The 13,639-nt window shown below is 45.7% G+C and overlaps 1 protein-coding gene and 2 pseudogenes across 1 annotated transcript in view; 2 read left to right on the plus strand and 1 right to left on the minus strand.

Moving 5' to 3' along the window:
• ANXA8 (annexin A8) overlaps window positions 1–13,639 on the minus strand; it is a 523,804-nt gene that overhangs the window by 90,675 nt on the left and 419,490 nt on the right. The window lies entirely within an intron of this gene.
• On the plus strand, window positions 4,939–13,549 carry GLUD1P6 (glutamate dehydrogenase 1 pseudogene 6; annotated as a pseudogene).
• Window positions 5,364–9,070, plus strand: DUSP8P1 (dual specificity phosphatase 8 pseudogene 1; annotated as a pseudogene).

The following is a 13,639-nucleotide window of genomic DNA, read 5'->3' on the forward strand; positions in this document are numbered from 1 at the left end:
GAGCCACCATGCCTAACCCTCTAAGACTTTGGGATACAAAAATATAATTTACTTTCCTCCATTTCTGGAATAAAACATCTCTTCCTTCCTCCCCCTAGTTTCTGTTCTGTGCCCCTGTTTGATCTCTGTTGGTCCTGTTCACCTTCAGCCTTCTCTGCTGAAGGAGGAAAGGCTTGGTTTTATAAAAAGTGACAATATTCAGACCACATAAGATCCTTCTTGCTTCATTTTGGATTAAATATTTTAAGATTTTCTGATTTTCTTGTATGCATATGTATTTACCTATTATTTGACTTTATTGAATAACTTCAAATTGAGTATATTTGAATGGGAATGGGCATTAAAAAGGGCTAAGCTTTCCCTGCCTTTCAGAACTTTGTATGTATATGTCACATCATTTTGTCCTTCACATTCTCCAGTTGTGCTATTTTTTCCCAATCCATTAAGTAGAGTAACTTCCTTTTTGGAGTCTTACTTTTTTTTTTTTTTTTTTTTTTTTTTTGAGGCGGAGTCTCAAACCGTCGCCCAGGCTGGAATGCAGTAGTGCAATCTCAGCTCACTGTAACCACCGCCTTAGCCTCATGAGTAGCTAGGAAATACAGAAGCATGCCACCACACCCAGCTAATTTTTGTATTCTTAGTAAAGATGGGGGTTTCACCATGTTGGCCAAGCTGGTCTCGAACTCCTGACCTCAAGTGATCTGCCCAGCTCGGCCTCCCAAAGTGCTGGGATTATAGGCGTGAGCCACCACATCCAGCCTCCTTACTTAAATCTCTTAATGTGCCTTAGAATGTAGTTAAGAATTTTCAGGTGACAGTATATTTTTGATAGTTATCTTTGGTTTCCAAACCCAGAGAAGGAAGAGTAACTGGCTTTTTCTGTTTGTGGGTACATTGTGTCTTATTGGAGATTGTTTTGTCTCAAGTATTGCCGCAGAGTATTTTATTAATGGGTGCACTTTAAAATTTTTTGTTTTTCAGATTAACAGTTTAGGTAGCCCAGTACTCGGTATTTGCCAATTTCTAGAATTAAAAACGTGTGTATCACTGGTTAACTAGAAATTTAAAATGAAAATGTGTCTTCTTTAGCCCAGGCAATATCACTTGCATTCACTTCTATCCCCTCCTTGTCCCTACTCTGTTGGCTCCAGGGCTTCTTCCACTAAGCTGGTACTTTCTTTATAGCTCCTCCTGTACTTCCATTCACTGAACCTTTATTGGTTCATAGCCTACAGAAAATGCCTGTGGTGTGAGAGGTAATTTGTGAAACTGCTTCTCTTCACTGTTTAGCAGGTTGAGCTCTCTAAATGGGTGTAGCTGGGAAAGAAAATTTAACTTTACAAACAAGAATTCCTGGGTTCCATCCAGCGGAACATGTCTCTTGTTATACACACACAGTTTCTGACCCATATCATTCCATGACTTATGATAAAATGGACATTCTGTTTACACTGTTGTGTGGAAGGAGAGGTCTGGTTCCTAATTTTTAGTAACATCTATTTCTAGAATATTAGGCTTGCCATTTGAATGCTTCTGTTTGATTTATGAATATCATTGGTTCCAGCAGTTTTTAGCTCCCTGCTAAATGCAAGTTAAAATTTTTAAGTTTCTAAGTTAAAAGAAAATAACTTTTCCTCCACTTAAGAAAGCCAGGAAAATTAAAAATAATGTAGTGATGACTTCCACAGGCTCTAAAAGAGCAATGAAAAAAGTGATTTATGTGTGGGAGAAGAAATACTAGTTCTTAATTAATACATTGTTTTACCACTTCCCGTGAATTTATGTAGAAGTAATGAAACCAAGGTTTAAGTCATTTGTTCAAACTCCTGTCAGTTTAGACTTTTTAATTGCTTTGTTACATGCCATTGCTTTGTAATACTTGTTATAGCAGTGGTAACAGTTGAGATTTGCCTGTTTGACCACTTGCAGGGCACCGTGCCAGATTCCCCATGTGCGATGTTCCTCGCAGTTGTGACGCCCATCCTAGGAGGGTGGCGTTAGCACCCCTCCATGCAAGCGGATGGTGCAGGCTGGGTCACCTGGGCACAGCGCCTGACTATTTTCCTGGCTTAGTGTAGTTATCATTAAATATGTGGTATTACTTAGAAGCATTTTGAATAATTTGAAAAGCACATTTTAGTGTTAAAACAATTTTTTTTTTTGAGAAAAGGTCTGGCTCTGTTGCTGGGGTGGAGTGCAGTGACCTGAGCGTAGCTCACTGCAGCCTGCAACTCCTGGGCTCAAGCGATTCTCCTGCCCCAGCCTCCTGAGCATCTGGGACTACGGGCACATGCCCCCACACCCAACTCAATTTTTTTTAAGATACAAAGGATTCATCTTAATATTATTTACAATTTTTTTTTCCTTTTCTGTGGGCCTCATCTGACTGGAAAGCCTTTCAATTTTTTTATTTTTTAAATTGTAAATTGACAAATTGTAGATATATATTTATGAGGTACAAAGTAATTTTATGATTTATGAATACAACATTACATAATTAAGTCAAGCTGATTAACCTGTTCACTACTGGAAACAATTGCAAATAATTATCATTTTTTCTGGTGAGAACATCTGAAATTTACTCAGTGATTTTGAAATGTGCAGTACTTTTTGTTGTTGTTGTAGAAATGAGGTCTCACTATGTTGGCCAGGCTGGTTTCAAACTCCTGAGCTCAAGTGATCCTCCCACCTCAGCCTTCCAGTGTTGGGATTACAAGCGTGAACTACCATGTTGGGCCAAATGTGTAATCTATTATTATTTACTGTATTCACCATGCTGTGCAATTTATCTCAAAGAAACTTATTCCTCCTGTCTAATTGAGGCTTTGTGCCCTTTGACCATCATCTCCCCATCACCCCCATCCCCAATGTTGTATACTGAGTCCTTTCATGATATGTATGGAGGCTTATGGTAAGTTATTTAAAAGTACATGTATGTCAAAATTTTTTGTGGCCATAGCTTTTCTTTCTTTTTTAAATTTTAAGAGTCAGAATATTCGTATATTAATTCAGCATGTATTTGAGTGCCTAATGTATGCCATTTTCTATGTTAGGAACAAGGAATTAAAGCAGTGAACATAACAAAGTCTGCCCTCGTGGTGCTAACTTGCCAGGTAGGGAAGCCAGATACTAAACACATGTATAATGCAAAGTCAGTAATAATAAACGATATGAAGAAACAAGTAAGGTAGGAGAGGCAGGAAAGTGGGAGTGAGAAAGAGGTGCTCTTTTAAATACAGTGGTCAGGGAGAGCCTCTCAGAATGAAGTTTTTAACAGAGACCTGAATGAGATGGGGGAGTCAGCTATACAGATATCTGCTGTGTGCTAGAAAAATTACCTGTAATTTTGCATTCTAAAAGTTTAATGAGTACATTTATTTCACAATTTGAGAATCAATTATGTATAAGATATAGTTGTAAGCACATACTCCTCTAAATATGATTTGTTTTTACAGTAGACCAAATAAGTATGTTCAGCTTAGAATATGCTCTTTATGATCTGTATAATAAATACATTCTCTTAAAATATTGTTAATATTAAGGTTGATGTTTTCAGAAACATATAAAAAAGCTAGCTTTTAAAATTGACTAGGGAAGTTCTCTCAAACTGCCAGTCCCTGAGATATTGTATATTTTCTATCTGAAAAACTTTTATTCTCAGAATTCTTTAAAAGAGCTGTCCCTGAGGCTCCCATTACTTACCTGTGACTCCCAGTGGAAATCGTACCCAGCCCCTCGAGAGGGGCTGAATCTGTTGAGAGTGGGAGGGTAGAAAAAATGCTGCAGCTTCTTGTGGGTAAACTTCACACACAAACACCCAGTGCCCCAAGCACTGTGCAGTCAAACATCAACCCTGCTCAGACTTTCCTCCTTGGGATTGAGAAGCAATGGATTATAGAGAAAGAAAGGTGGCTTAGCACTCCAAAACTTGGAAGGGTAATTGACCAAGACCCCCCAAAGCCAAAGCAGTGGGCATCGCCACTTTCTGTATACCCTATACCAACACGTAATGGCTACTAGATACAGGGGCACTAGTACCTGTCTGCTTGGCTACCTCCCCTTCTTGCAGAAGTGGTGAAGGGAATCACTCAACCTCAGGAAGGGAAAATGGCTTTCTCATCTTCAAATTGAAAGAGGTTGGCAGTGGGTGAGGAGAATAACAGGTAAGGATCTCTTTCAATATACCCATTTGAAGCCAAAACCTCAGTTTAGACATACGGTATTTTGAACCTGGTGACTATTCATTGCCCATGTTTGTGAATTATCAGAAAGCAGAATTCTTGCCAGGCATAGCGGCTCATCCCTGTAATCCCAGCACTTTGGGAAGCCAAGGTGGGAGGATCACTTGAGCCCAGGAGTTTGAGACCAGCCTGGGCAACATGGTGAGATCTTGACTCTACAAAAAATTCAAACATTAGCTGGGCATGGTGGCATGCACTTGTGGTCCCAGCTACTCAGGAGGCTGAGGTGGGAGGATTACCTGAGCCCAGGAGGTTGAAGCTACAGTAAGCAGTGTCTGTGCCACTACGCTCAGCCTGAGCAACAGAGCAAGACCCTGTTTCCCACCCCTACCCACCCCCTAAAAAAGCAAGCTGAATTCTTGAACTCCCTGCAACCAGGTCACGCAAACCAAAGGTAAAAGGAACATAAAAAAGCCTTCTGGAAAGTGTACAGAAATTCATTGCAGGGTGATTTTTGTCTTGTGAAATCATAGTTACTGTTATTAGCAGCTTTTTTAAATGTTTTATATTCATTTTTTATGGTGTTCTGATGTATGAGCTGCTTCAAGTGTTTTTGGACATAGCTTGGGTATAAAATGTAAAAAGTGGATATTTTCAATTTGTAGCTTTCTTTTTTGAAACTTACTGAAATTTGTTCTAAATATATCCCCTTCTTTCTCACCCACCCCAACACATTTTTTAAAAAACACCACCAGGTATCCGTTATAGCACTGATGTGAGTGTAGATGAAGTAAAAGCTTTGGCTTCTCTGATGACATACAAGTGTGCAGTGGTTGGTAGGTGATCGCTTTTCTTGCTACCTAATGAGAACTCTGGGGAAATATGTTTACAAACATGTTACTGTTAAGATGCTATAGAAATATACCTTATCGGAACTGATTTTTTTTTAAGTTGTACTCTTTAAGACCTGCATCATTTCTCAATTACTCTAAATTAAGATATAGCCTTTTTTTACGGGAGGGATTTTTTTACGGGAGGGAGCTAATTGGATTTTAAGTCTAGATCTTTGTTTTCAATTCCTCAACATATTCTATAAATAAGACCAAATTATAGTAGAAGGAGAGTAAATAAGCTATTATCTTTTTAAAGTGGTGAAGAGCACTGATTAAATATATATTAGAGCCCCAGCCCCCGCCCCAGCTGCGCGGGCCCCCGCCTGGCCCATGGACTGCACAGCCGAGCGGGCGCCTTGAGCGCGGTGCGGGTCCTCGGAGCACCCCCGAGGTGAGCGCAAGCAAGGTCCGGCATCATGTGCTAGGTTATTCCCAGTGCGAGGCCACACTTGGGCCGTCGGAGCAGCCCCTCCTCACTTCAGGGGTCACCCTCCCCAAGACCCATTGCCCCATCATGGCCGGGGACCGGCTCCCCAGGAAGGTGATGGACGCCAAGAAGCTGGCCAGCCTGCTGCGGGGCGGGCCTGGGGGGGCCTGGTCATCGACAGTCACTCCTTCCTGGAGTACAACAGCTGGCATGTGCTCAGCTCCGTCAACATCTGCTGCTCCAAGCTGGTGAAGTGGCGGTTGCAGAAGGGCAAGGTGACCATTGTGGAGTTCATCCAGCCGGCCGCACGCAGCCAGGTGGAGGCCACTGAGCCACAGGACGTGGTGGTCTATGACCAGAGCACGCGGCCGCAGACAGCTTCCTCTCCATCCTGCTGACCAAGCTGGATGGCTGCTTCCACAGCGTGGCCGGCTGCTTCCACAGCATGGCCATCATCACGGGGGGCTTCGCCACCTTCTCCTCCTGCTTCCCCGACCTCTGCAAGGGTGAGCCTGCTGCCCTGCTACCCATGAGCCTCTCCCAGTCCTGCCTGCTCGTGCCCAGCGTGGGCCTGACCCTCATCCTGCCTCACCTCTACCTGGGCTCGCAGGAAGACGTCCTGAACAAGGATCTGATGACGCAGAATGGAATAAGCTACGTCCTCTATGCCAGCAACTCCTGCCCCAAGCCTGACTTCATCTACCAGAGCCACTTCTTGCGGGTCCCCATCAACGACAACTACTGTGAAAAGCTGCTGCCCTGGCTGGACAAGTCCATCGAGTTCGTCGATAAAGCCAAGCTGTCCAGCTGCCAAGTCATCGTCCACCGTCTGGCCGGCATCTCCTGCTGTGCCACTATCGCCATCGCCTACATCATGAAGACCATGGGCATGTCCTCCGAAGACGCCTACAGGTTTGTGAAGGACCAGCGCCCGTCCATCTCGCCCAACTTCAACTTCCTGGGCCAGCTGCTGGAGGACCAGAGCAGCCCGAAGCTGCTGGCCGCCGTGCAGGGCGACGCGGGCACCCCCTCAGGAATGCAGGAGCCTCCCCCCAGCCCTGCGGCCGGGGCCCCACTGCCATGGCTGCCACCACCTACCTCAGAGACCGCTGCCACCAGGAGTGCAGCTGCCAGGGAGGGCGGCCCGAGCGCGGGCAGGAAGCCCCCGGCGCCCCCCACGGCCACCAGCACGCTGCAGCAGGGCCTGCGCAGCCTGCGCCTCTCCTCGGACCACCTGCAGGACACCAGCCGCCTCAAGCCCTCCTTCTCTCTGGACATCAAGTCGGCCTACGCCCCCAGCAGGCGGCCCGGCGGCCCGGGCCCAGCGACCCCGGCGAGGCCCCGAAGCTCTCTGAAAGCTGGACAGCCAGTCGGGGCCATGCTGGGCCTGCCCTCGCCCTGCCCGGACGCCGCGCCCAGGCACGCCCACGGCCCGGCGCGCTACCCCGCGCGCGGCCTGAACTTCGGCTACGCGGCTGCCGGGCCCTGGCCAGCCGGCCAGCCCCGGAGCCTGGACGCCACCGCTCGACTCCCTGAAGCGTCCTCGGTGCTTCAGCCCCGAGGGCGTGCAAGGGCCGGGCAGGGTGCTGTTTGCGCCCTTCGGCCGGGCGGGCGCCCCGGAACCCAACGGCTGCAGCGACCTGCCACGGCGGGAGGCAGCAAGGGCTGAGCCCGGGACGCGCGGACCAGCTGGTCAGACGAGCTGGCCCCGGATTCGCACTTCAAGTGCTGCAGCTGCCAGATGGAGTTCGAGGAGGGCATGGTGGAGGGGCGCGCGCGCGGCGAGGAGCTGGCCGCCCTGGGCAAGCAGGGGAGCTTCTCGGGCAGCGTGGAGGTCATCGAGATGTCCTGACCCCTCCGCTGCCCTCGGCTCCGCCGCCCGCAGCTGGGCAGTTATAAATATATATTATATATAATGCAAAGAAAGGCAAATGGTTTTACTGCGATTTTTATCCAGAAGTAAATATTTCGATTTTTTATTTATTTAAGCTGTTCATTCTGGCACTGATTTGGCAACAGTGCGGGTGGTCCTCGAGCTCTATTTTTACTGTCTGGTATTTAAACCGAAACACACGTTTCTAAGCAATAAGAGGCCACCTTCAGTCGCAAGTTGCAGGCCAGGCCTGGGGCCCCTCCCTGATCCCCCGCCCCAGAAAACACTGCTGACATTTGCAGAGGCTGCCGAGCTTTCGTGAACTTTTTACACAAGAGAAAGTTGAAAAAAAAAAAAAACTTTCTTGCCACAAACTGAGCCGCAGAAACCCCCTTCTTCCCCCACCCACCGCCCCTGCTCTCTCCCTTCGGGCTCCGCCCCAAAGCCATAGGCTGGGGGAGCAGGACCTGGTGTGCCCCAGAGAGGTGCGGCCAGCCCTCCACCAGCTCTAGGCACCAAATCTTGGTGGCAGGGAGGGCACCCCGCTGCCCGTTGCCCCAGAGCTGTTCCCTCTCAGGGGAGGACATGCATTGGGCCCCATGGTGCCAGGGCGTTGAGAGGGGCTGAGGAATAGAACAGTGTGTGTAGGGGCTTGGGGCAGGGGGTTCTGGAGGGTCAGATGAGGCGGAGCCCAGGGGAGGATGGGGGTGTTATTAATGCCCCAACTCCTGCCAGAGCCCCAGTCCAGCCACTGAGTGCCTCAGAAAGGCCATTCCCAGAGGGCTGCGGCCCTCCCTTCTCCTTTGCCCCTGCCCCCAGAGCTACCTGACTGGCAGGGCGGCACTACTGCAGGAGAGGAGCTTGGCCTCCGGGGGTCAGGCAGGAGGGGGGCCTGGCTAGCCTGTGCTGGCTCCACTGGGCGGGGAGCCCTGGACTGCCAGGTATGAGGAGGGGGTGGGCTTAGGGTCCTGTTCCAGGTCCGTCCCCCACCTAGCAAGGCCCCAGGCAGGACTTGGAAACCAGGTGTGCACCTGCAGGCTGAGGGGCTCCATGAGCAGGTGCTGCCTTGCACAGGGAGTTCAGGCGCCAGCCAAGCCCCCGTGCTTCTGGGGTAGGCCTGCTTCACTTAGGGAGCGCTGCCTCAAGGCAGATAAAGCCCCCTTGTTGACCCGACCTGCATGGGGGCCTCTCAGGAGAGAAACTCTCGTGCGCCCCTTTCCCAGGGCGCCCTCTTTCTAGACAGCATTCCAGCCCCCAAACACAGGTGGCTTTTGGGCCCAGATGGGTCAGCCTGCTGCTCCTGGCCCATACCCTCTCAGGCCGTTGGGACTCCTGCCCTTCAGATGTCCTAGGGTCTAGGAGTGGGCCAGTCACCCTGGGAAGAGGCCAGGGGCTTGGCAGGAGGGGCGGCCCAGGCGGGACCCAGTCCTGAGTCCTGGAGCAGGGCCAGGGAGGCGCCCGCCCCACCCCAGCCAGCCGCCTTCTCTGCTGTTTCTTCTATTTGTTCTTCTTTTCACCCACAGCCCTGTGTTCCTGTCATCCCTCCTTTCAGCAAAAGTCCTGTTCCCGTTCCCTCTGTCCCCACCCACTCTTGTTCCCCAAGAAAATAAGCTATCATTGTTGCATTTGCAATCTATGGATTAGAGGTTTAAGTATTTATTATTATTGGTTAATTATTATTATGTTTTATATATATATATTAGAACTTGGCTAGCCAATTTTATTGAACAATTCCTGTTCAATAAATGTTGTTTAAAGTACAGTTGAGAAAACGATGGTAGGTTTATTTCTTGAACTTTCAGAAATTCAAGCTTAAAGCATCACACGTTTTTCTAATATTGTGTGGCGCTTTCTGTCATTTTACTTTTTTAACCTTTATATGGAATAGCAACCATCAACCTTCTCTTTCAGATGTGCCGTTTGGGGGTGCTAAAGCTGGTGTTAAGATCTATCCCAAGAACTATACCGTAAGTATGAAAGTTTTTGTTTTTGTTTTTGTTTTTGCTTTTTTGACACAGAGTCTTGCTCTGTCGCCCAGGCTGGAGTGCAACGGTGCGATCTCGGCTCACTGCAACCTCCGCCTCCTGGGTTCAGGCGATTCTCCTTGATCCAGTAACTGGGATTACAGGTGCATGCCACCATGCCTGACTAATTTTTGTATTTTTAGTAGAGAGGGGGTTTCACCATGTTGGCCAGGCTGGTCTTGAACTACTGACCGCAGGTGATCTGCCCACCTTGGCCTCCCAGAGTGCTGGGATTACAGGCATGAGCCACCGCACCCGGCCTCAAAGTGATATTTGTGCACACAGTGCATTTATGAAGGACTTGAAATTACTGGGCTTCTCTGTATCCCCCATATCAGTGAAATCAATAGTCCCCATTGCTTTTCAAATGGAATGAAAAAAGTAAAGAATTAACTCATTGAGTGTTTTGCCATATAAAGGTCACCTACTTAATATCTATATCCTTTATCATTTTCTGCTTTGTTTGGTTTTGTTTTTATGAGTCTTGTTTTTTTTTTTTTTTTGCTTTTTGTATTATTATTTTCTTATTTAAAAGGTAATTAATATCTTCATATTATTAGACACCTATACCCATATTTAAGAAGTACTGTGATCTGGCTGGGTGCGGTGGCTCACGCCTGTAATCCCAGCACTTTGGGAGGCCAAGGCAGGCGGATCACGAGGTCAGGAGATCGAGACCATCCTGGTTAACACAGTGAAACCCCGTCTCTACTAAAAATACGAAAAATTAGTCCGGCGTGTTGGTGGGTGCCTGTAGTCCCAGCTACTCAGGAGACTGAGGCAGGAGAATGGAGTAAACCCGGGAGGTGGAGTTTGCAGTGAGCCGAGATCATGCCACTGCACTCCAGCCTGGGTGACAGAGCGAGACTTTGTCTCAAAAAAAAAAAAAAAAAAGAATCACTGTGATCTAATTAGCCAGGCATAGTGACGCACACCTGTAATCCTAGCTACTCGGGAGGCTCAGGCATGAGAACTGCTTGAACCCAGGAGGCAGAGGTTGCAGTGAGACGAGATTTCACCACTGTATTCCAGCCTGGGCAACAGAGCAAGACTCTGTCTCAAAAAGAAAGAAGAAAAGTAGTACTGTGATCTGAAGTTTTTAGTTCAGGATCTCATGCTAGTGACAAATATCTTAACTAAGCCAATAAAAACCTTACTTTTTATCCTGTCAGTTCCAAGTAAATTCAAACTGGTTGTCACAATGCTTTACATAATACTAAATTATCTATATACAAACATAAACAGATATGATTTTTATTCTCTTTAAAATTCACCATTTAGATGGAATATAATTATATTACAATTAATCTTAATTAAGATTTGGTATATTTTTCAGTGGGGAATTAATAGAATGGGAATTTGAGTCCTGGTTCTACTATCTTGTTTTTATAACCTACTTTTTTGATCCCTTATTTTCTCACCTTTAAAATGGCATTGCCTACCTTATGAGTTGTTCTAAGGATGAGAAGACATGAAAATGTACTATAAATAGAAAATAAGATGCTAGCTATAATCTCAAGCGATTTTTGTATCTTTTTTTATTTTTATTGTTTTCTTATTTTACAGGATAACGAACTGGAAAAGATCACAAGGAGGTTCACCATGGAGCTAGCAAAGAAGGGCTTTATTGGTATGTGTAGCCACATAGATTTTGGCATAAAGTGGGAACATCTAAAAAAATCTTTTTTTTTTTTTTTTTTTTTGAGACAGAGTCTTACTCTGTCTCCCAGACTGGAGTGCAGTGGTGCAATCTCCTCCACCTCCCGGGTTCAAGCAATTCTCTTGTCTCAGCCTCCCAAGTAGCTGAGACTACAGGCATGTGCCACCACACCCAGCTAATTTTCGTATTTTTAGTAGAGATGGGGTTTCGCCATGTTGGTCAGGCTGGTCTTGAACTCCTGACCTCGGGTGATCCACCCATCTCAGACTCCCAAAGAGCTGGGATTACAGGCATGAACCACTATGCCCGGCCTCCTACTATTTGTGATAGGAGCTTTTGCCAAACATACAACATTTTTGAAGACACTGATCTTCGTTTGCTTGATGTCTTCGTATCTTACTATTATCTGTGTTTATATGTTCTTTGTGTGTGATCTGAACATTCTTTCCTATGATATGTAAATATTTGTCATTTACCTTCTAATTTTCAGGCAGTTTAAACCTTTCTATACATATATTTTTAATCTAGAAGGCTTCTAATTTGTTTGAATAGAATATACATAATTATTTAATAAAATGCTTGCCCTATCAGTATAGTTAATAGAATGTTAATAGTTACTTAATAATATAATACTTGCCCTATCAGTATCAGTATAGTTAAACAAAATAAGGTCTACTTAAATAGGAAATAAAGTGTATTTTTCTCTACTTTCTTTCTCAGCATTTCCCCCACCATGGACAAATGCCTATGAAATTAAACTATAAAGTCTGGGCATGGTGGCTGGTGCTTGTAATCCCAGCATTTTTGGAGGTTTTGGAGGCTGAGGTGGGAGGATCACTTGAGCCCGGAAGTTCAAGACCACCCTAGGCAATATAGCGAGACCCCGTCTCTACAAAAAATGAAAATGTTATCCAAGCGTGATGGTGCATGGCTGTGGTCCCAACTACTAAGATGGGAGGATCCCTTAAGCCTGGGAGGTTGAGGCTACCATGAGCTGTGATCATGCCACTGCACTCTGGCCTAAGTGACAAAACAAGACCACATCTCAAGAAGAAAGAGAAAAGAAATAAAGCTATTCAGATTCATTTTTAGGAAAAAAGTCATGAAATAAATGTCATGAAATAACCTAATATAGAAATACAGTAAGTATAGGTAACTCTAAAACTTGACTAGATTTGGCCTGTCTTTCATAATAAAAGGCATTTGGGCCTTTGACGTGCCGCATACCCAGCACTACTGTGAATTTGTGCATCATTACGAGGAGCCTATTAACATGAGTGAACTATCTCACTCACACTTTTATAGGAGTACCTACCGATTCTGAGATATGGTGAATTGAAGTCATGTTCAGCCTGTTAATAGCCTTCATAATTTTCAAAAGGTCTTTCCTCCTCACCTAAATCTCAAACACATTTTATAGTCTTGAATGGTTTCAGACTTTATTCAGTCATATTTATCGCCCATATCTGCAATATCTCCAGCTAAATTTTATCAGTCTTGACAAGTACCTAATAATTCCAAAGGTCAAAAAGTGATTCATTGGAATACTGAAAGAAAACACAGCTTAAACTCTAGTAACTTGATTTATTTGCCTAATTCGCAAAGGCCTCATTGACCCATGATGCAGCTAAATTGACGTCTTGGCCCAGACAGCTTTGAAGCCTAGGAGGCAGGCAAAGGGAGTTTTTTCTCTCACTTCTCGGCAAACCTTCAAATTCGATGCTATTTATCTGTTATTTCCTGACACTCCACAGAGAGTGTCAGATTGAGGCTCAGACCTGAGCCTGAGCCCTGATCCTATCACATGTGTGTTTAGCATCAGCTTGTAAATTTCTACAAAACAAAACAAAACAAAAAAAAAGAGGCTGGGATTTTGATAGGAATTGCATTGAATCTGCACACCAATTTGTGGAGTATTGCCATCTTCCCCACCCTCCCCAAAAGGGTTTTGCCCTTTCACCCAGGCTGGAGTACCAGGCAGCAGTCACTGCAACCTTGACCTCCTGGGCTCAAGCAATCCTCTCACCTCACCCTCCCAAGTAGCTAGAACCATAGGCGTGCGCAACTGCACCTGGCTAACTTTTTAATTTTTTGTAGAGACATGGTCTCATCACGTATCCCAGACTGGTCTCGAACTCCTGGAATCAAGCAATCTTCCCACCTCAGCTTCCCAAAATTCTGGGATTATGGGCATGAGCCACTGCACCTGACCAGTATTGCCATCTCAACCATATTAAGCCTTCCAATGCTGAATATGAGATGTCTTTCCATTTATTTAGGTCTCTGATTTCTTTCAATGATGTTTTGTAGTTCTCATTGTAGAAGTCTTACAACTAAGTATTGTATTCCTTTTAATGCTATTCTAAGTGACACTGATCTATGGTTTTCTTATGATGTCTTTGTCTAGTCTTTGTATCCAGACAATTCTAGCCTCATGGAATGAGTTGAGGAGTGTTCCTTCCTCTTCTGTTTTTGGAAAAGCTTTTGAAAGGTCGGTGTTCATTCCCTTGTGTGAGTGTAAATATCACCTATGTAAAGTTCTGCAGGACCCTGATGTCTCCACCCTTCTCATCCCCTTATA

The sequence above is a fragment of the Homo sapiens genome, chromosome 10 (genome assembly GCF_000001405.40).
Source record: "Homo sapiens chromosome 10, GRCh38.p14 Primary Assembly".
In the NCBI taxonomy this organism is placed as follows: domain Eukaryota; kingdom Metazoa; phylum Chordata; class Mammalia; order Primates; family Hominidae; genus Homo; species Homo sapiens.